The sequence below is a fragment of the Homo sapiens genome, chromosome 16 (genome assembly GCF_000001405.40).
Source record: "Homo sapiens chromosome 16, GRCh38.p14 Primary Assembly".
Taxonomy (NCBI): domain Eukaryota; kingdom Metazoa; phylum Chordata; class Mammalia; order Primates; family Hominidae; genus Homo; species Homo sapiens.
This window is the reverse complement of record NC_000016.10, coordinates 69,854,237-69,876,687: the sequence shown is the minus strand read 5'-3', so window position 1 is coordinate 69,876,687 and position 22,451 is coordinate 69,854,237. Positions and strand designations below refer to the sequence as shown.

The 22,451-nt window shown below is 45.7% G+C and overlaps 1 protein-coding gene across 15 annotated transcripts in view; it reads right to left on the bottom strand.

The window, feature by feature from the left end:
• WWP2 (WW domain containing E3 ubiquitin protein ligase 2) overlaps window positions 1–22,451 on the bottom strand; it is a 179,408-nt gene that overhangs the window by 65,052 nt on the left and 91,905 nt on the right. For all 15 annotated transcript variants that reach the window (XM_017022879.2, XM_017022881.2, XM_011522823.3 and 12 more), the window contains one exon: window positions 4,757–4,884. In XM_017022879.2, the coding sequence (XP_016878368.1) occupies window positions 4,757–4,884 (128 nt within the window). The remainder of the gene's footprint in view (window positions 1–4,756; window positions 4,885–22,451) is intronic.

The window sequence follows — 22,451 nt, the reverse complement described above, 5'->3', positions numbered from 1 at the left end:
TACTATTTAAGAAATACATTTTATGGCTGGGCACAGTGGCTCACGCCTATAATCTCAGCACTTTGGGAGGCCAAGGTAAGTGAATCACTTGAGGTCAGGAGTTTGAGACCAGCCTGCCCAACATGATGACACCCTGTCTCTACTAAAATACAAAAATTAGCCGGATGTGGTAGCAGATGCCTGTAATCCCAGCTACTTTGGAGGCTGAGGCACAAGAATCACTTGAACCCGGGAGGTGTAGGTTATAGTGAGCCAAGATCATGCCACGGCATTCCAGCCTAGGCAACAGAGTGAGACTGCATCTCAAAAACAAAAAACGAAAAAAAAAAAAAACCCCAAAAAACATGCCCCAAAAAAACCAAATACATTTTATAAGGCTATAACTGCCTTAGATCATGATTCCTCTGATGGATGTGGCCAAAACCCATTAAAAACCTCCTAAAGGCTTAAGCCTACAATCCCAGCACTTTGGGAGGCCAAGGCAGGCAGATCACCTGAGGTCAGGAGTTCAAGACCAGACTGGCCCACATGATGAAACCCCATCTCTACTGAAAATACAAAAATTAGCTGGGTGTGGTGGTGCATGCCTATAATCCCAGCTACTCCTGGGACTGAGGTATGAGAACTGCTTTAACCCAGGAGGCGGAGGTTGCAGCAGTGAGCTGAGATCATGCCACTGCATGCCAGCCTGGGCAACAAGAGCAAAACTCCATCTCAAAAAAATAAAAAAATAAAAAATAAATAAAAACTAAAAAGGACTCACCATTCTAGATGCCATTAAGAACATTTGTGATTCATGGGAGGAGGTCAACATATCAACACAACAGGAGTTTGGAAGAAGCTCAAACCCTGATAGATGGCTCTGAGGGGTTCAAGATTTCAGTGGAGGAAGGAAATGCAGGTGTGGTGGAAATAGCAAGAGAGCTAGAATAAGAAGTAGGCCTGAATATGTGACTAAACTGCTTCAATCTCATAAGAAGACTGGAATAGATTAGGAGTTGTGTCTTATGGATGAGCAAAGAAAGCAGTTTCTTGAGATGGAATCAACTTCTAGTGAAAATGCTGTGAACACTGTTGAAATGACAACAAGGATTTAGAATATTCCATATACTTAGTTGATAAAGCTGCAGCAAAGTTTGAGAGAATTGACTGCAAATTTGAAAGATTTTCTACTGTTGCTAAAATGCTGTCAAACAGCGTCGCATGCTACAGAGAAATCTTTGATGAAAGGGAGAGTCAACTGATGCTGTGAACTTCATGTTGTCTTATTAGAAATTGCCACAGCCACCCTGACCTTCAACAACTACCATCCTGATCAGTCAGCAGCCATCAACATCGAGGAGAGACCTTCCACCAGTGAAGAGATTTCCACTGGCTAAAGGCTCAGATAATTGTTAGCATTTTTAGCAATAAAGTATTTTTTAATTAAAGTGTATACATTTTTTAGACATAATGCTGTTGTACCTTTTATGGACCATAGTATAGTGTAAACATAACTTTTATATGCACTGGGAAACCAAAAAATTCATGTGACTTGCTTTTTTGTGATATTCACTTTATTGTGATAGTCTGGAAACAAACCCATAATATCTTGAAGGTGTGTCTGTAATTTATGCCTTATGACAACTTATGAGATATATACTTTTGCTGTAATTTTTTTTTTTTTGACACAAGGTCTCACTCTGTTGCCCAGGCTGGAGTGTAGTGGTGCCATCTCAGCTCACTGCAACATCTGCCTCCTAGGCTCAAACGATCCTCCTGGCTCAGCCTCCTGAGTAGCAGGGACTACAGATGCATGTCACCACGCCCAACTTTTGCCCTAATTTTATAAATGAGAAAACTAAGACCTAGCGAGTCACTGGGCCTTAAACGCATTAAAGATGAAGAATCGGAATCTGACCACGGCTGATGCAACTTCTGACTGATGTGTATGGAAATTACATTTAGGGAAGAAGTAAAATATGTAAAATTTGGGGGTAAAGTCTTCAATAAAGAATTAGCAAGTAAATCATCCCATACAAGTCTCAATGAAGGGCTATGCCATTCGTCTATTTCTTGATTCCACCACTTCTAAAACTTAGAAATATAATATTTATACAGACGGGCTGCCATTCACTCTTGTTTTATAAAAATGGATACTTTATGGTTGTGACAACATAAAAAAACCACCTGGAACCCAGCTCCGGTTTGGCCTCAAATTTCTTTTTCATGCATAACTGCAGTGCGCAGCCAAAAAAGGCTGCTAAATAAATCTCGCAAGTCTGTGGAAACTCTTCCAGGAGGCAGAGCTCCCCACCACCACCATCTTGGAACTGGTCCTCAGAATTCTCACAGCAGCAGCCCGAGGGATGAAGATGTCCTCATTCACACCCTCGACCCCCCTCTGGTCCTGCGCTGCTGAAGAGGGGAGCTTCTGCCTGCTCCCCACGGCAAAGGTGACACTGTTCTGTACCCTTGGGGCAGACGTTATATAAAGTACAGGCTGCCTGTGAGGTAAAGGTGAACCACCATCACAGCAGAAAGGGGAGAGATGGACATCAAGCCCTCAGCACTGGAGTGGGCAGAAATCCCTAAAATACAACTGCCCTTCAGAGATGGATCTTAGGAACAGGTTTGGGCACTGAGAGACACCACCATGAAACACTTCCAAGGCAGTCCAAGGTTAGAGACGCCTGGCTTTTGAAGACACGGCTGGCACCTGCCTTGTCTGCTAGAACATAAGGTTCCTAGAGATAAGGACAACAAGTAATGGTACCTAAAAATAAATGTAGGGGAAATATAGCTCTATTGAAATGTCCAAGAGTGACTCAAGGACCATCACCAAAGAAAATCAATTCACCAATAGTTTTTATAGGAAAAGCAGAGGTAGCTGCGGGAAACCATGATCTCAATAACACAGGCATCTGGCAGAACAAAGCTGCTAGTAGCTCTGCCATGGCACCTGGGAATCAGCTGGTTCCTAAAAGCCAGTCCCCCATCCCCATTTGTAAACACTGCCCTCCTCCACAAGCCACTGAGTTTTCTAAGAGAAAAATGCTCGCAGAGCTGCCTATGGTTCTCTATACTATGGCTCACGGCCATCACTTTGCTGTCTCCTTCACACAGACAGGAAGGCCAGGCTCAGCTACCACCGGATGTTCCAGCACAAGGATACAGTGGGTGGCACAGGGGCGCCAGGCAGCTGAGACGGCAGCCCTGGGACTCCCCACCTGCAGCTCCTCCTCTTCCCCAAGGCTCAGGGTGGGCTAGTCAGTTCACTCAAGTCCTTCAGGCAGCTCCCAAACTTCAGGGAGGAGGTCAGGCCACTGCACTCACAGTGCGCTTTGTAGGACACAGACCACTCCATCTTGTGGTCCACAGAAGATGACAGGGTACCCAGGCAACAGCAGCAGCCACGGGGACTCTGAAGCCCCCATATGGTGCTGCCACAGAACTGAAGGGTATTGCAAAGGAACCCAAATCAATTTCTTCCACTCAGTAAGTTTGTCACAGAGGTCACTTAACAATGCCACAACAACACTTCCGTGAAAAGCCATGCTGCTCTGGGTCTCCTGGCCTTTACGCCACACCTCTGCTGTCACGAGCACTAGAAAACTATCTCAGCGTCACTTACCAAATTTCAACACCTGCATTCCTCTACCTACAATTCATCCAAGCGAAACATCTACATCCCAGCCCAACTGCCCGAAATGAAGACAAACTACCAAACGACCAGCAGTCTCTAAAGATTTGACAATCTTTGAGAAGTTTATAGAAATGAATGGGTTTGTTTTTTCTTTTTCCTTTTTGACTCTGTCCTGATGAGAGAGAGGGAGAGCAGGACGGAAAATGAGTTGTTTTGAAATAGGTCCTTCCCGTCTCACTTACGGGGAAGCAGAGCCAAGTGTGGGGAAGTTCCATGCGCACGTGGACGGCACTGTCTCCTCTCAAATGGGGCCCCCATCGGGATGGCCCCTGCACACCCCCAAGTAGTTACCTGGCTCTGCCCCAGTCAGCATCTCAACCCATTCACCAGTGGTGCCATCATCTGACTCAGCTCTTAGCAACAATACTTAGTCCTACATTTCCTTAGTCTGATAATTCCCTTACGTGAAGGAAATAAAAAATATGCTATGTATAAATGAGATATCCTCCCCAACATGAAATCCAATGCAGATAAGAAATGAATAGAAAGGCTAGGCGCAGTGGCTCACGTCTGTAATCCCAGAACTTTGGGAGGCCAAGACGGGCGATCACAAGGTCAGGAGATCAAGACCATCCTGGCTAACACGGTGAAACCCTGTCTCCACTAAAAACACAAAAAATTAGCCGGGCGTGGCAGTGGGCGCCTGTAGTCCCAGCTACTCAGGAGGCTGAGGCAGAAGAATGGCATGAACCCGGGAGGCGGAGCTTGCAGTGAGCCGAGATCACGCCACTGCACTCCAGCCTGGGCGACAGGGTGAGACTCCGTCTCAAAAAAAAAAAAAGACATTTCTTTTTATTGTCTTTATAGAAAGACAAGACTTTTTATTTCTGTGCAAATGAGTATTTTAGAAGAGCGCAGTCATATGGAGAATAACCTTGGCTGTACAGAATATGCCAGAGAGAGAAGAAGATGGGTCAGTAGAAAGACTGATGGATTCAAATCCAGTTTAGTCCTAGAGCCTTCTGACGCCCACCCTCTATTCTGACACAGTGGGCAGGATCCCGTGTCCACGTTAGAACGGGTGAGAGCCCACAGCTTCAGTGCAGGCTGGCGTGCGGTGCCATCACTCACCTGTGCCATTGGCCAAGCCACTGTGGCCTGAGTTCTTGACGGGCTGGCGGTGCCGGCTCCGAGCACCGGGGCTTTGCTCGCCGGTTGCTGGGGTTGTTCTGGCTGAAGCACCCGAATGTCTGTGCGTCCTGGGGGTTCAAAGTAGAAAGCAGACAGACATAAGTCACTGTGAAAAGGACAGAAGTGTTTCCTACCTAAGTCATCATATTCCCTTCTCCTGCCATTTATTGGAAACAAGACCTTTAATAGCCCCTCTAGTTTTGGACTAAACAGAAGCTGGTTCCAAGCAGAGAGACCCAGGGAAGTTTCCTTTTTGGTAAAAGCTCAGAAGGTAACTTTGTGTAAACTTTTCCACTTCAAGTAAACAAATCCAGAGTGAATTGCCCCTACATCTGAAATAATTGGCAAAATATCCTGTGACCATCACATTATTTTTATTGGGCTCAAATGTTACAAATAAACAAGAATCACTGGACAGGCTCAGATGAAATATTTCCCCCATTAGGCAAGAAGAGCTCAAAACTTATCCAAAGCAATTTTCTCTATAGCTAGAAAGATGATTCCCTTGGCAATAAAAGTCAAGGGGCATTAAACAACTTTTAGTCAATGCATATGTTGACACTTTTTGTTGTTGTCATTCACTTGTTTGTTTAGAGACAGGGTCACACTCTGCTGCCCAGGCTGGAGTGGCACGATCATAGCTCATTGCAGCCTCAAACTCTTGGGCTCAAGTGATCCTTCCACCTCAGCCTCCCCAGTAGCTGGACTATAGGCACACAGCACCACGCCTGGCTCATTTTTTTATTTTTGGGGAGATGGGGTCTTGCTATGTTGCCAAGGCTGGTCTCAAACTCCTGAGCTCAAACGATCCTCCCACCTCAGCCTCCCAAAGTGCTGGGATTACAAGTATGAGCCACTATGCCTGGCCTAGACATGTTTTATCTAGAAAAGATGACTCAACAATCCATCCAAGTAAATGAGAAGCAATGCAGAAATCACAAAGAAAAGTGTGGAATTTAGCAGCAGAAAACCTATCAGACATCTTCAGAGAACACAAGGCAACAGGCAGCATGTGCTCTCAAGTTCTTTTTGCAGCTTGACTTTGCCCACTCAGTGAAAATGTCTAAGCCTCCCTGTCCTTCGGTTCATCTGTTTCACCAAACGAGGCTCTTCTACTACTTAGTAAGCATCTACTACTTTGCAACTGTGAGATGTTTCAAATACCATCCAGTGAAGAAAAGATCACCCCTCTCCAGACAGAGAAACAGAGACCCAGAGACAATTTGTACCATGCAACATGGGGCGATAAAACTACTCTCAACAATAAAGGTGGCTGGGCACAGTGGCTCACGCCTGTTATCCTAACACTTTGGGAGGCCAAGGCGGGAGGATCACTTGAGCCCAGGAGTTTGAGACCAGCCTGGGCAACATAATGAGACCCTGCCTCTACAAAAAATAAACAAAACTAGCTGCACTACCGGTGCATGCCTGTAGTCCCAGCTACTCAAGAGGCTGAAGTAGGAGGATCATTTGAGCCCAGAAGGTAGAGGTTTCAGGGAGCCAAGATCACGTCACTGTATTCCAGCCTGGGTGACAGAGTGAGTGAGAGTGTCTCCAAAAAAAAAAAAAAAAAGGATAAATAAATAAAGGTAATAATAATGGCTACAGAAGTATATAATATTCACTGAACTCTAACATTATGTTCCAGGCACTGTGTGTGCTATGCATTTACATATATGTTCTCATTTAACATGGGAACCCTAAAGGTAGATTAATATTATTATCCCCGCTTTACAGATAAGCAAACAGACACAGAGAAGCTCTACAGAAAGTAAGCCAAATGATGCAAAGATTCATGTACAGGCAGTTTAATGTCAAGAGCCTAGGCTCTTAGGTCAGAAGATGGGACAGGAAGCCTGAACTCAAGCTAAATTCCTCTTGGGCTATTTTTTTGTTGGTCATTTGGACAATGGTGAAATTAAGAGCTATAATAGAAAGTTCCCCATTGGGAGGATCCACCTCCAGCAGAACGACCCTGCTGGGAGTCTTTGGTCCAGTGTGTTGAGGCAGTCAACAGGAAGCTCCTTGAGGGATATGAACCACCCAGACCAGCTACCTTCTCTAAAGTAAGAAACAGAATTTGACAAGATGAACATAAACCAAAATCTTAACCGTCATTATCTTTGGATATTGGGAATAAAGAAGCCCTTTTGTGCTCTTCTAGATTTTTCCAGCTTCCTTCATTGAGCTTGTATACTTGTGAGTAAGGAAAAAAACATGACTTTTTGGCTGGGTGCAGTGGCTCACACCTGTAATCCCAACGCTTTGGGAGGCTGAGATGGGACGGCACTTGAGCTCAAGAGTTTGAGACCAGCCTGGGCAACACAGGGAGACCTCATCTCTAGCAAAAAATTTAAAAAATTAGCCAGGTGTGGTGGCGTGCCCCTGTGGTCCCAGGTACTTGGGAGGCCAAGGCAGGAGGATCACTTCAGCCTGAGAGCGTGGCAAAAGAGTGAGACCTTGTTTAACAAAAAAAAAAAATTAAGTTTTTCTTGCCCCCAATCCCCAACAAAAAAAAAAAAGGAGAAAAAGGGAGAAACGTAGCAAACTCTGGAGTCCCTCATACCTAAACACTGCATGGCAATGGAGACAGAGTACGACTGAACTGTGGAAATACTCAATGTGGACTCTCTTTTTCCACCTTAACTTTTTCCCTGAGCTAATTTCATAAATCAAAAGCTGTTGGCCGCACACAGTGGCTCATGCCTGTAATCCCAGCACTTTGGGAGGCTGAGGCAGGTGGATCACCTGAGGTCAGGAGTTCGAGACCAGCCTGGCCAACATGGCGAAACCCCATCTCTACTAAAAATACAAAATTAGCCAGGCATGGTGGTGAGCGCTTATAATCCCAGCTACTTCAGAGGCTGAGGCAGGAGAATCACTTAGAACCCGGGAGGTGGAGGTCGCAGTGAGCCGAGATTGTACCACTGCACTCCAGCCTGGACAACACAGAGAGAGACTCTGTCTCAACAACAACAACAAAAAGCTGTCAACCACACCTCAGTCAAAGATGAATATTTCAAAGTTCCCACTTCATGGGAAGAAATGTTCACCTTAAGCATTTCACCACAGCTCCTCCTCAAAAGTGGAATGAGCACAAATGAGTTCCAAAGGGAAAGGCAGGCAGCCCTCAGCAAGCTGGTGTGTGTGTATGTGTGTATATCTGTGTGTGTATGTCTGTGTGTGTGTGTGTGTGTGTGTGTGTGTGTGCACATGTGTATGTGTTGAGGGCAGAGAGCTTGAGGGAGAAAATTGGTTAATAGAAGGTTTGTTTCAGCCAAGGATCCCTTTACTAGGACAAAAAGCCTCTCTGATTTGGAACTTGCAGCCCCCAGGAGCAAGCTGGACCCCTCAGGGAGCTGCAGGACCTGCAAAACGTGCACTGTCAACCCCTCAGACAGACATGTCCATGATCAACTCCAGCCCCGGGTTCCCTGTCCCTCTGCAGAGCAGCTGGGCATGACAATAGGGTGGGTCCCATTACTCCCTGGCCCTGCCCTCCCTTCCCAGAAAGGGCATGTGGTCAGCATGGAGAGAGAATACTTTCAGAAACACTTAACCACTAATGATAGCGGCTTACCCTGAATGATGGGCTGGGCAGGGCGGGATCAGCCCTAAGCTAGGGGCAGCTGGGATCACTTTGCATGAACTGCCACCTCCCTGCCCGTGGCCAGCCACCACCCCCCAACACACACACAAACACCACATCCCCTCTCCCCAGATTCTCCCCTTGCCCTAAATCTGGAGTTTCCAGTTTTTGGCTCTTGTGTTACCTTTAAAATAAGATGCTTAAAGGAAGAAAAGGCCTCAACATCTGAGGCAACTCCTCTCTTTGGCAGTTTCCTCTCTTGGAGAACTCACTCAACCCATAAAAGATGGGATCATATTGTAATGAAAAGCTGGCCCAGATGCTGAAACCACACATCGTGGGCCAAAATAGCACCCAGACAAATGCAGGGTGATGGCTGAGACAGCCAGGCTCGGCTCTGCCCATGACTTCAACCTTGGCCCAAGCCCCCTCACCATTTAGGGGGAGGGGACGAGTTATACAGCCCCCAGGGCAGGCAGAAAGCAGTTAGAATGGCAGTGCCAGTCAGGCCAAACTCCACAAATGGTTTTAAGTCAACTCATTACAGAAATTCAGCTCTCTTTGTAGCTCGCCCTTCTCAGGATGCGGTGTGTCCTCACTCAAGGTCCTCTCTCAAGAACTGAGGCCTCCTGAAGGCAGGCCAGCCACGACCAGGACCCACGCTCCCCAAAGTGGTTCTGACACAGATGAGGTCCCCAGGACAGAGCTGCTCACTGACACTTGGCATTTAAGCTTTGATGGTCAAAGCCCTGGCCTCCATCCTCAGCTACACCCTGACAGCCAGAGCCTTGGGTGTCATGGGACACCTGGCCTCGCCCTTCATGAGGGCCGCTGAAATGTACTCAATCATCCTTTTCTGAGTGTTAGGCCCCATTCTAGAGATAAAACAGAGTCCCTGACCTCAAGGAGCTTCCACCTTAGTGGAAATGCTGTGATTTGTAATTCTGCTGAGACACAAATTTCTATCATAGCACACAATGCTGCTTTGGGGAAGCCACCTGCTGGTGAGTGAGCCTGGCTGACCACGTGACAGTGTTACCTCAGTGCAGCCTCGCTGACCATTGTCACCTTTGCAACAGATCATGTGGAGTAATTAAACAAAACAGGATTTTGTTTGTTTGGTTTAAAAAAAAAAAAAAAAAGCCTTGGCCAGGTGTAGTGGCTCATGCCTATAATCCCAGCACTTCAGGAGGCTGAGGCAGGTGGATCACCTGAGGTCAGGAGTTCGAGACCAGCCTGGCCAACATGGCAAAACCCCAACTCTACTAAAAACAAAAATTAGCCAGGCCTGGTGGCGCATGTCTGTAGTCCCAGCTACTCAGGAGCCTGAGGCAGAAGAATCACTCGAATCCAGGAGGCGGAGGTTTCAGTGAGCCAAGATCGCACCACTGCATTCCAGCCTGGGCGACAGAGCGAGACTCCGTCTCAAAAATAAATAAATAAATAAATAAATAAATAAATAAATAAATAAATAAATAAATACGGAACTGAAAGCAAGACCTCAGGAGAGATATTTGCACACGCAGGTAGACAACAGCATTATTCACAATAGCCAAGAGGTAGAAGCAACCCATCCTCGACAAATGGATAAAGTATGGTATATGCATACATATGAGTATTACTCAACCTTAAAAAGGAAGGAAATTTTGACACAGGCTACCACATGGATGAACCTCGAGGACATTCTGCTAAGTGAAAGAAGCCCGTGGCAAAAAGACAAATCCTGTGTGGTTCCATTTAAATGTTACCTGGAGTAGCCAAACTAATTGAGTGAGAAAGCGGGATGATGGTTGCAAGGAGCTAGGGAGAGGGGGAAATAGGGAAGAAATTTGTAGAAAGCAAAAATATCTAATAAAATGAGGCTAGGTGCAGTGGCTCATGCCTGTAATCCCAGCACTTTGGGAGGCTGAGGCAGGAGGATCAATTGAGACTGGCCCAGGCAATGTAGGAAGACTCCGTCTCCATAAATAAATAAATAAATAAATAAATAAATAAATAAATAAATAAATAAAATGTGAAACCTTTTTTTAAAAAGCATTTTGTGGCTTCATCAAAAATTTTAAACTCCTGCTCTTCTAAAGACACTGTCCAAAAAAATGACAGGACAGTCCACAATACTGAGAAATAATAATAAAATCCTAAGCTCCTCAACCAACTGAATGGACCCCCTCTTGGCCAAGAAGACGCCAGAGAAACCTTAAAAACCTTAATTCCCAGCCATGATGAGATGCGAGGTCAGAGACACCTCGTTACACCCCCTCCTTCCCTAGCCACCATAAGTCTTTCTTTCCTCAGTGTCGAACAAAAATCAACCCTCTCAAAAGACTTGTTCACTGCTGATTTCAACCAATGGCCTCACGCTGCCTTCCCTTTTGTGGTTTCCACACAGCAACTGACCGGCATTCCTTTCTGATAAGAGGCCACTGACTATGGTGTGGTTCTGGCCAGGCCACGGAGGCTGTGCACTCAGTATCTTTCTGTCCTCTGCTTCACCTTCTGATGGACAGGGTCTAACAGTAATACATTTAAATATTAAGTGTCCATCTCAAAGGGCAACAAGGGACACATGTAACAAACGTGTTAGTTTATGACACATGCATGTGTGTCCCCTTCATAAATATTTATAGCTTCTCCTATAACCTGATAAATATGTAAACTTAGCCAACCAGTTTAGCGTAAATTACTGTCTCATCTTTCCCTCCCTTGAAATGCCTGCTTTTTGGTTTCAGGTAGAGGCTCCACTTCCTGCCTGCAGGTTATGGTACCCCCCCTTTAGAAATGAAGCTCTCTTTTCTAAATTTATAGAGTTTGTGACTTTTATGGTTGACAATATATGTCTGATAAAGGAATTTTATCTAGAATTGATAGAGAACTCTTAAAATTCAGCAATCAGAAAACAACCCCAATATTTTTTAAATAATCAAAAGATTTGAGGCTGGGTGTGGTGGCTCATGCCTGTAATCCCAGCACTTTGGGAGGCTGAGGCAGGCGGATCACCTGAGGTCGGGAGTTCGAGACCAGCCTGGGCAACATGGCAAAACCCTGTCTCTACAAAAATAACAAAAATTTGCTAGTTATGGTGGCAAGCGCCTGTAGTCCCAGCTACTTGGAAGGCTGAGGCAGGAGGATGGCTTGAGCTTGGGAGGTGGAGGTTACAGTGAGCCGAGATCACGCCACTGCACTCCAGCCTACACGACAGAGCCAAACCCCGACTAAAAAAAAGATTTGAACAGACACATCACCAAAGAAGATCTACAGAGGGAAAATAAGCACAAAAAAAGATGCTCAACATCATAAGTTCTTCGGGAAGTGCAAATTAAAACTACAATGAGATATCATTACATATCTATCAGGATTGACAAAGTTTTTTAGGCTGGACGTGGTGGCTCACGCCTGTAACCCCAACACTTTGGGAGGCCGAGGCAGGCGGATTGCTTCAAGTCAGGAGTTTGAGACCAGCCTGGCCAACATGGTGAAACCCCTTCTCTATTAAAAATCGAGCCATTGCACTCCAGCCTGGGTGACAGAGCCAGACTCTGTCTCAAAAAAAAAAAAAAATGCAAAAATTCGTCAGGCATAGTGGCTGGCGCCTGTAATCTCAGCTACTCAGGAGGCTGAGGCAGGAGATCGCTTGAACCCCGAGAGGCCAAGGTGGCAGTGAGCCAAAATTGTGCCACTGCACTCCAGCCTGGGTGACAGAGCGAGACTCTGTCTCCCACAACAAAAAGAATGGACAGAGTTTTTATACAACTTACAGTAATAAGTCTGGATTAGGATGCAAAGTAATTGGAACTCTCATACATTGATGGCGGGAACACAGCCACTTTGTAAACTGTTTGGCAGTTTCTTATAAAGTTAAATATATGCTTGGCATGCAAACTGACAACCCTACTCCTAGGTATTTTTAAAAATTAATATTTTCAGACAGGGTCTCACTCTGTCACCCAGGCTGGAGTGCAATGGCGTGATCATGGCTCACTGCAGCCTCCTGGGCTCCTGCAATCCTCCCACCCCAACCTCCCAAGTAGCTGGGATCACAGGTGCGCACCACCATGTCCAGCTCATTTTTGCATTTTTGGTAGAGAAGGGGTTTTACCATGTTGCCCAGGCTGATATCGAACTCCTGAGATCAAGCAATCTACCCTCCTTGGCCTCCCAAACAAAGTGCTGGGATTACAGGCATGAGCCACCACACCTGGCCTCTCCTAGGTATTTACCCATGAGAAATGAAAACATGTTTGCATAAAAGCCTGTATGCAAAAGCTCATAGAGGCTTTGCTTGTAAGCGCCAAATACTGTAAGCAACTCCAAGTCCTTCAATTGGTGAATGAGTAGACCAACTGTGGTACATACACATAGTGGAATAAACTCAATGCATAAAAGGAATAAAGTGCTGGTACATGCAGCAACAGAGGTGAATCACAACCGCATTATGCTAAGTAAAAGACACCAAAGGCTATACGTGTACATTTCCATTTTTAAGATATTCAAGAAGAGGTCAAACTTAGAGAAAGAATACAGATCCATGCTTGCCAGCAGCGACGGGTACAAGGAGGAGCTGGCTACAAAGGGGCACTGGGGAACTTTCTGGGGTGATGAAACTTTCTGTATCTTTTGTTTGTTTGTTTCTTTGTTTGTTTTTGAGACGGAGTTTCACTCTTTCACCCAGGCTGGAGTGAAGTGGCGCAATCTCGGCTCACTACAACCTCTGCCCCCACCAGGTTCAAGCAATTCTCCTGCCTCGGCCTCCCTTGTAGCTGGGATTACAGGCGCCTGCCACCTCGCCCAGCTAATTTTTGTGTTTTTAGTAAAGACGGGGTTTCACCATGTTGGCCAGGCTGGTCTTGAAGTCCTGACCTCAGGACTTCACCCGCCTCGGCCTCTCAAAGTGCAAGGATTACAGGCATGAGCCATCACGCCCAGCCTTTCTGTATCTTGATTATGATAGTGACTACCTGGCTGTATGCTTTTGTCAAAACTTACAGAACTATACACTAGTAAGGGTAAATTTTACTGTTTGTAAATTATAGTAACTTAATAATTTAAAAAAGCCATTTGTGGAGAAAATGTAAAAGTGAGCAAAAGTTGTAGAAGGCAGGTATGGCGTGAGGGTATGGTCAAAAAAACAGCAAGAATGTGGATGGGAATGTGATTCAGGCAAAATTCAAGACCCTACAAACATTTCTAAATTAATACATGTAGGATTCTATAAAGACTAGGGACATATCTCTCCCAAATGCCGAGAATTCATGGCTAGGCCGGGGGTGGCGGCTCACACCTGTAATCCCAGCACTTTAGGAGGCCAAGGGCGGAGGACTGCTTGAGCCCAAGAGTGCAAACCCAGCCTGGCAGCACAGGGAGACCTCGTCTCCATAAAAAATTATTTTAAATTAGCCAGGTATAGTGGCAAGTGCCTGTGATCCCAGCTATGCGGGAGGCTGAGGTGGGAGAATCATTTGAGCTGGGGAGGTCGAGGCCGCAGTGAGCTGTGATCACACTCACACCACTACACTCTATCCTGGGCAATAGAGCAAGAGACCCTGTTTCCAAAAAAAAAAAAAAAAAAAAAAAAAAGAATTCATGGCTGGCTGGATACCAGGTTCCAAGCATACTTTTCTATCTTGGTAAAAGAGGCCCAGAATATGAAAGGGAGGTTCATTGACCCCAGATTCAGGCCCACTGGTATTCAAGTTCAGCAAAAGAGAAGTTTCAAGGTATAAAAACTGATTACTGGCCAGGCATGGTGGCTCATGCCTGTAATCCCAGCACTTTGGAAGGCCGAGGTGGTTGGATTGCCTGAGGTCAGGAGTTCGAGACCAGCCTGGGGAATGGAGGCTGCAGTGAGCTGAGAGAGATCCTGCTGCTGCGCTCCAGCCTAGGTGACACAGCGAGACTCCATCTCAAAAAAACAAAACAAGGGCCAGGCGCGGTAGCTCACGCCTGTAATCCCAGCACTTTGGGAGGCCGAGGTGAGTGGATCACCTGAGGTCGGGACTTCCAGACCTGTCTGACCAACATGGAGAAATCCCGTGTCTACTAAAAATACAAAATTAGCCGGGCATGGTGGCGAATGCCTGTAATCCCAGCTACTCAGGAGGCTGAGGCAAGAGAATCACTTGAACCCTGGAGGCTGAGGTTGCAGTGTGCCGAGATCACACCATTGCACTCCAGCCGGGGCAACAAGAGCGAAAGTCTGTCTCAAAACAAACAAACAAAACAAAACAACCTGATTATTGATTTTCCTCCTATAAAACAGGCACAAAAAGTAAAATTACCTAATAAAACTCCTCTCACATTCCAATCCGGGTAAGCGGTATTTGCCTAGGATTACTAGAACCAAGAGGGCTCCCCACCTCAAGTCTGTCCTTCCTCTGAGCACACTCTTAACTGGTCATTGTCTTTTAATAGCTGCATGGAAAAAAAAATTCAGTGGAGCTGGGCCAGTTTCCAGCAAGACAGAACCAGAAAGAAACAGGCACTTAAAATAGAAGCATGAAAAAATAAAAAAGGAAGCCGTAATGGGAAAAGAAACAGTGTCCACCACCCAGAGAAGCGCCAATAAATAAACCTACTCCCACCTGCACCCCCCTCAATTCTTCCTCCCCACTCAAATGTGGATTAGAAAAAAAAAAAAAAAGGAGAGGGCGGGTAAAAGGAGAAGTGAACCGGGAAAGGCACAATTAGAGTTAAAATGGGCCCCTTCTGGTCACTGCAAGCGCAATTTACGGCTCCATTCCACACCCTACCTCTGGACTGCCAGCCTCACAAATGACAGGGAAGGTAAAAATAAAATCGCTGCCAAGTCCATTCTAAATTACAGAAAGACTTCCGGAAGACAAACAATTTCCTTTTGCGCACCCTAGAGTACAGAGCAACCTTCTCAAAGGTGGCAATTTCATTAGACTAAAAAAACTCACCTTGAGAGAGAAGGTATAGTAAATGGTGACTTGTCCAATCTACTTCCAGGCCGTATGTTGGGCTTAGCTGAGAAGAGTGCTCAAATGCCCTCCCAAACTTCAAAGAGAGCTAGAGAGTTCAGAGGGGAAGTGTTCACCTGCTCAACGTGGCCATTGATGGCTTGAGGTACCCTGAACAGAGACAGCAGCCTGTGATTTGTCCTATGACCTGAGATCCCCTGACCCTGAATTATGAGTGCATAGGACACTGTTGCCGCTTAGGAGATGAGCATCCCCATCAACCTCCACTGTGCACAGGAGGAATCTCCATGGGGCTGGCCCCCAAGGAATGCAGAGCACAACCTGTACAGGTGCGCCAGAAAAGCCTCTTCACTTTCTCGCTACTGGCATCATTCCCTGTTTGAATCTGGCCCACTCACTGCCTCCTTTTACTATAGCTCCAGACCAGAAAGGACTACACAGGACCTTGAATGAATGGGGGACTACAGTATATTAGAGTGTTCTTTCTTTCCTTTTTTTTTTTTTAACTAGAGATCGAGTCTTGCTATGTTGTCCTGGCTGGTCTCAAACTCCTGGCCTCAAGCAATCCTCCAGCCTCGGCCTCCCAAAGTGTTGGGATTAGAGGCATGAGCTGGGTAGAGCATTATTTCTAAGTGTTCTGACACGACAAATCACAAGGCAGGAATTCAGCAGGACGGAGGCAGGCTCCAAAAAGAATATGTTCAATGGACATCCCTCAAAATACCTCTCTAGACCCCTACCAAGGGAGAGTCAGACCCTTTGCTGATCTACTTGCCCGGCATTCTCTTCCTGGACTTTCCACCCAGGTGGCCAAATTCCTAGGCCAAATCTCAGTCCAAATGTCCCTCATCTCCCAGGCTACAGTAAATTTCCTTTCATTCTCTCATAACATCCTAATTGTTCCCTTTATGGCACTGCTATGTGTCACTACACATTCATGAGGGCAGAGATCATGTCTTGTTTTGTGAACCTCTGGAGACTCAGCACCTAGTGTGTGCCTGGCCCACAGTAGGATTCAGGAAATATCTGTTGAATGAAGGAAAGATGCAAGCTGTCAGGTTCAAAATCACTCTTGGGCCTGTAACCTCCAGTACTTTGCATATTCTTTCCAATCCAGTCACTCATCACCTCCCCGACTCCTTTAAAGAATGGAATCGGACCACCACGCCTGGCTAATTTTTTTGATTTTTTTTTATAGCGATGGGGGTCTTGAACTCCTAAGGTGAAGTGATCCTCCCACCTCGGCCTCCCAAAGTGCTGGGATTACAGGTCTGAGCCACCATGGCTGGCCCATTAGAGAGAGTCTTTCTACTGTGGGGAGAATTTCTAAAATGACATCCCTCTCACTCTAGCCCCCCTCCAATGCCTAAAACCTGTGAATATGACAAGGTGCCACACCCTTGAGTATGTCGTCAAGTATGTCGTCGTGTACCACAGCAGACCTTAAGAAAGGGGATCATCGGGCGGGGCGGGGGTGGGGGGCGGTGCTCTCTCAGTCTAATTAGCATCACATCACCTCCTGGAAGCAGAGCGCCTTCTCCAGCAGGTGGCAGGAGAGAAAATCAGAGAGATTCAAATCACAGGGAGATCTGACACTCCTTTCCTGGCTCGAAGGTGGAGGGGGCACCGTGAGAAGGAATGCAGGGGTCGGGGCCAGGGGGAAGCTTAAGGAGTTGAGAGGGACCCCCGCTGATGGTCAGCAAGGAATGGGCACCTCAGTCCTACAACTGCAAATAACTAAATTCAGCTAAGGACCTGAATGACTTTTTTTTTCTTTTTCTTTTTTTTTGAGACAGGGTCTCCCTCTGTCGCCCAGGCTGGAGTGCAGTGGTGCAATCACAGCTCACTGCATCCTCGACCTCCCTGGGCTCAAGCGATCCTCCCGCCTCAGCCTCCTGAGTAACCGGGATGACAGGCATGCGCCACCATGCCTAGCTAATTTCTGTATTTTTTTTGTTGAGATGGGGTTTGGCTATGTTGCTTAGGCTGGTCTCAAACTCCTGTACTCAAGCCATCTGCCCACCTCAGCCTGCCAAAGTGCTGGAATTACAGGCGTGAGCCACTGTGCCCAGCCCTGAATGACCTTTGATATGAATTCTTCCCCAGTGTATGCAGATAAGAATGTTGTCCTGCCAGAGCCTTGATTTTGGCCTTGTGAGACCCTGAAGGGAAAAGTCAGCCGTGTGATCCTGGACTTATGACCTACAGAACTGTGAGCTAATAAATGGTGTTGTTTTAAGCCCTGAGTTTGTGGTGATTTGTTACAGAGCAATAGAAAATGAATGCAAATAAATGACAATTCAATTTCCACAGTAGAAGATGGAACTCTCAAATACATGCATGACTAGGGAACAGCCTTGACCCAGTTCTTGCTGGTCTAGTTCAGCAGCCCTCATACAGTTATGGCATCACTCTGTGGGATCCAGTGCCCATGTCGAAGGAGCAGCATTCCAGTGATCCTAATGTCCTCAAGGAGACACTCAATCCTAAGATTCAATAATCACTTGGGAATTTGAACACCTAGTATAAATGAGATATTACCTATTCTTAGAGGGTAAGTAACATTCTTTTCTGGCAGAGTTGAAGTACACGGACTTTACACCTTCTTTTCCCAAACAAGACTTATTTATGTGTCAATTCTTCTCTGATTCCAATACTAACCTTAAAAGCTGCAAGGATTTGAAAAGAACAGTCGGTGAAAAGCATTCAACACAGAAATATCAATCATGAAGAAAAAAACAGATGAAGCCACAGAGACTGTGCAGGCAGTGGGACCCCAGCACACTCTTGGTGGTTCACCTTGCAAGCACAAGGCGGCTGTGATAAAGGGCGCCCCCTCTTCTCTGTGGTCCTCAAATTATCGCATCTCAGGAGTCAAGGCGCCAGGGAACGTAAACCAGCAACATGACCCACCCAGAAGTTTTGGCGAATGAAGAGCAGGAACACGAGACTCTTTCAGCTCAGCAAATATTTATTGAGCTGCTACTACGTGCAGTGAGGCACTATTCTAGGTCCTGCTGGGGACACAAAGATGAATGAGGCACACAGAGCCGTGGCCTGGTGTTTGAGTGAAAGCTTCAGCACCACTTCCCCCAAGCCCCTTCCTCCCCAAAAAAACCACAAACCAGGTGGAAGAAATAACTCCTCGGAAGTCTCCAATTCATCATCCTTTTTCTAAGTGTAAAGAAAAATGTATAACTTTATTTAAAAGAAAACTTTTTTTTTTTACTGGTTCTAAAGGTAAAATTTCAAAGAAAAGGAACAAAACCAACCGGGCCCTAATCTCCCATTCTCCACTACAAAATAATGAGTATCTGCACCACATCCTACTCTAGGTTTTCACTAATTTCATTAAATTTTCTTTGTGTCATTTTGTCGTTATAGAGTTGTACTGTTAGGCCGGATGCGGTAGCTTACGCCTATAATCCCAACACTTTGGGAGGCTGAGGAAAGAGGATCCAAGACCAGACTAGGCAACACAGGAAGACACTGTCACTACAAAAAAAAATTTAAAAATTAGCCAGGCATGGTGGCGCACACCTGTAGTCTCAGCTACCTGGGAGACTGAGGTGGGAAGATCACTTGAGCCTGGGAGGTCGAGGCTGCAGTGAGCTGTGATTGTGCCACTGCACTCCAGCCTGGGTGACAGAGCGAAACCCTGTCTCAAAAAAAAAAAAAAAAAAAAAAAAGAGTTGACCTTCAAAGGCCATTTGAAAACACAAAACACACAAAGTAGACCCAAAATATAGACATGCTGTATATAAAACTCAGCATAAGGCCAAACAGAAAACCTTCAGGCCGGGAGCCAGTCAATGAGCTCTTGCTCTCTTCACACCACTGGATGCAGAATTTCACACTCCATTATCAAATAGTCAGGGAGCCAAAGATACCTTCAACCCATCAAGACTTTTCTTGAAAAGGCAGACCAAACACAGTGGAAAGTGGAAAGTTACGCCAGGCGTGGTGGCTCACACCTGTAATCCCAGCACTTTGGGAGGCCAAGGCAGGTGGATCACGAGGTCAGGAGTTCGAGACCAGCCTGGCCAACAGGTGAAACCCCATCTCTACTAAAAATACAAAAACTAGCTGAGCGTGGTGGAGCGCGCCCAGCTACTCGGGAGGCTGAGGCAGGAGAATCGCTTGAACCCCAGAGGCAGAGGTTGCAATGAGCCGAGATGGCGCCACTGCACTCCAGCCTGAGCGACAGAGTGAGACTCTGTCTCAAAAAAAGTAAAAAAAGTGGAAAGTTAGTCAAAGATGGGAAACAGAAACTGTAGGACAGACAGAAATTAACAAGAGGAAGAAAACAACTCTAAAGATATCAAGAATCACGAGAAACATAAATGAACTGTGACAGTTTAAAATCATATGGTTTTTTAAAACTCTAGTTAAATGCTGTTACAAAAAAACACTACCTAAAATATAAGTACCAAATAGGTTAAAATGAAATGAATAGGGAAAAAAATATGCCAAGTGGACACAAAACAAAAGGAAGCTGGGATAGTTAGGTTAACGTCACACCAAACGGGTTTTGTTGTTGTTGTTGTATTTTTTTTTTATTTTTTATTTTTGAGATAGAGTCTCCCTCTGTCACCCAGGCTGGAGTGCAGTGGCGTGATCTCAGCTCACTGCAACCTCCACCTCCCAAGTTCAAGCAATCCTCCTGCCTCAGCCTCCCGAGTAGCTGAGACTACAGGCACATGCCACCACACCCAGCTAATTTTTGTATTTTTAGTGAGATGTGGTTTCACCATGTTGGCCAGGATGGTCTCGATCTCCCGACCTCGTGATCCACCCACCTCAGTCTCCCACAGTGCTGGGATTACAGGCGTGAGCCACCGCACCTGGCCACCAAATGGGTCTTTTAATGATTTTTAAAATTAAGGTATAATTTACATAGAGTAAAATTTACCCTTTCTAAGGGTACAATTTGGCAAGTTTTACCAAATGTTTATAGTGGTGTTACCATCACCACAACTGAGACATAGAACATTCCCATTGCTCCCAAAATTTCCTTGTGCCCCTTTGCAGTCAATCCCTCCTCCAATGCCCCCACATCTTCAGATTGGATTTCTGTCCCTAGAATTTTGCCTTTTCCAGGATGTTATATAAATGGAATCATATAGAACATAAGCTTCTATGTCTGGCTTCTTAAGCTTAGCCTAATACTTTTAAGAGTCATTCACGTTGTTAAGTTACTTTTTATTTGTCAGACCAAATAAATATACATCTTTTTTAGAGATGGGAGTCTTGTTATGCTGCCCAGGCTAGACTCGAACTCCTGGACTCAAGCAATCCTCCCAGCTCAGCCTCCCCAGTGGCTGGGACTATAGGCACATACCACTGTGCCTGGCTTCAGACCAAATAAATTTTAAGAGAAAAAGCACTAAAAACAAGAATAACAAGATAAGGCCAAAACGTTCTATTCATCCATAAGACATATGTCAAATTGTACTCTAGATCCAATGAAATAACCTCGAAATACATAAAGCAGAAATTCATCAGAATGATCTGGCACCACCCTTTACCAGTGTCATCTCTTCCTATGACTCCACTTCCCCTTCCTCTCCAGTGGGACTGGCCTCTCCACTGTTCCTTCAACTCCAAAGGCACATTCCTAACTTAAGGCCTTTCCAACAGCCATTCTTCTGCCCAAACTCTCTTTCCCCAGATATCCTCATGGTTACATTCCTTGCCTCCTTCAAATCTTTGCTTAAAAGTCACCTTCTCAACAACACCTCTCTTGACTGCCCTATTTAATACTGCAACCGGCTCTTATATGATACATTTATACATATTTTTCGCATGAATCAAACTCATTTTTTAAGTAATAAAAATCAATAAAACCAAGGGAAAAAAGGAACACTCTGGGATTCTGCATTATTATAGAAACCAAGGCACAAAATGTTTCTAGAGAGGACTAGTCCATGATGTTAAACTGGCAGACAGGTCAGGGGGGCTTTGGTGACTGTCATTGCAGCAGAATGATAGAGGCAGAGGGCAGACTGAAGTGAACTAAAAAATACTTAAGAAATAAGGATGGCAGACCCCAAGAATATTGAGACAAATACCTCCACTATATTTTCAATAAGTTAAGGGTGAAGAAAAACTTCATGAAACCCAGTACATGTGAAGCAGAATATAAATTCTAGATTTTAGTTCTGTTACTATTTTTATCTAAAACAAAATGAAAAGCCGGCTGGGGCTCAGCGGCTCATGCCTGTAATCCCAGCACTTTGGAAGGCCAAGGCTGGTGGATCGCTTGAGTTCAGAGTTCAAGACCAGCCTGGGGAGACCTTATCTCTACAAAAAATTTTAAAAATTAGCCTACTGTGGTGGTGCACACCTGTAGTCCCAGCTATTTGGGAGGCTGAGGCAAGAGGATCACTTGAGCCTTGGAGGTTGAGGCTGCAGTGGGCCTTGATTGCACCACTGTACTCTAGCCTGGATGACAGAACAAGACCCTGTCTCAAAATTTTAAAAAACAAAAAAGAGGCTAGGCGCGGTGGCCCACACTTGTAATCCCAGCACTTTGGGAGGCCAAGGCAGGTGGATCACCTGAGGTCAGGAGTTCGAGACCAGCATGACCAACTTGGCGAAACCTCGCCTCTACTAAAAATACAAAAATTATCCAGGCGTGGTGGCAGGTGCCTGTAGTCACAGCTACTCAGGAGGCTGAGGCATGAGAACTGCTTGAACCCAGAAGGCAGAGTTTGCAGTGAGCCAAGATCGTGCCACTGCACTCCAGCCTGGGCGACAGAGCAAGATTCCATCTCAAAAATAAATAAACTTAAAAAAAAAAAGAAAAGCCTACATACAGAATTGATTCAACGTTTGAAAGGAGTCATTCTATTTAGGCTATTTAAATGCCACCAGAAAGGCAGTCACTAAACCAAACCCCAAATCACCACCTCCACAGACCTTGGCACTTTAAAAGGAGCCATCCAGTTCCAACAGAATCCGAAAGGAAAAGTCGAACCTCATCTCACCAAACCACAGCCACAAACACCATGGCTGAAGCACCCCTCTTTCCTCGCCATCCACATCTGTCTAAAGCATTTGCAGCCAGTTCTGTTCTGGTCTTCCATCAGCACATGGTCAAGCTACC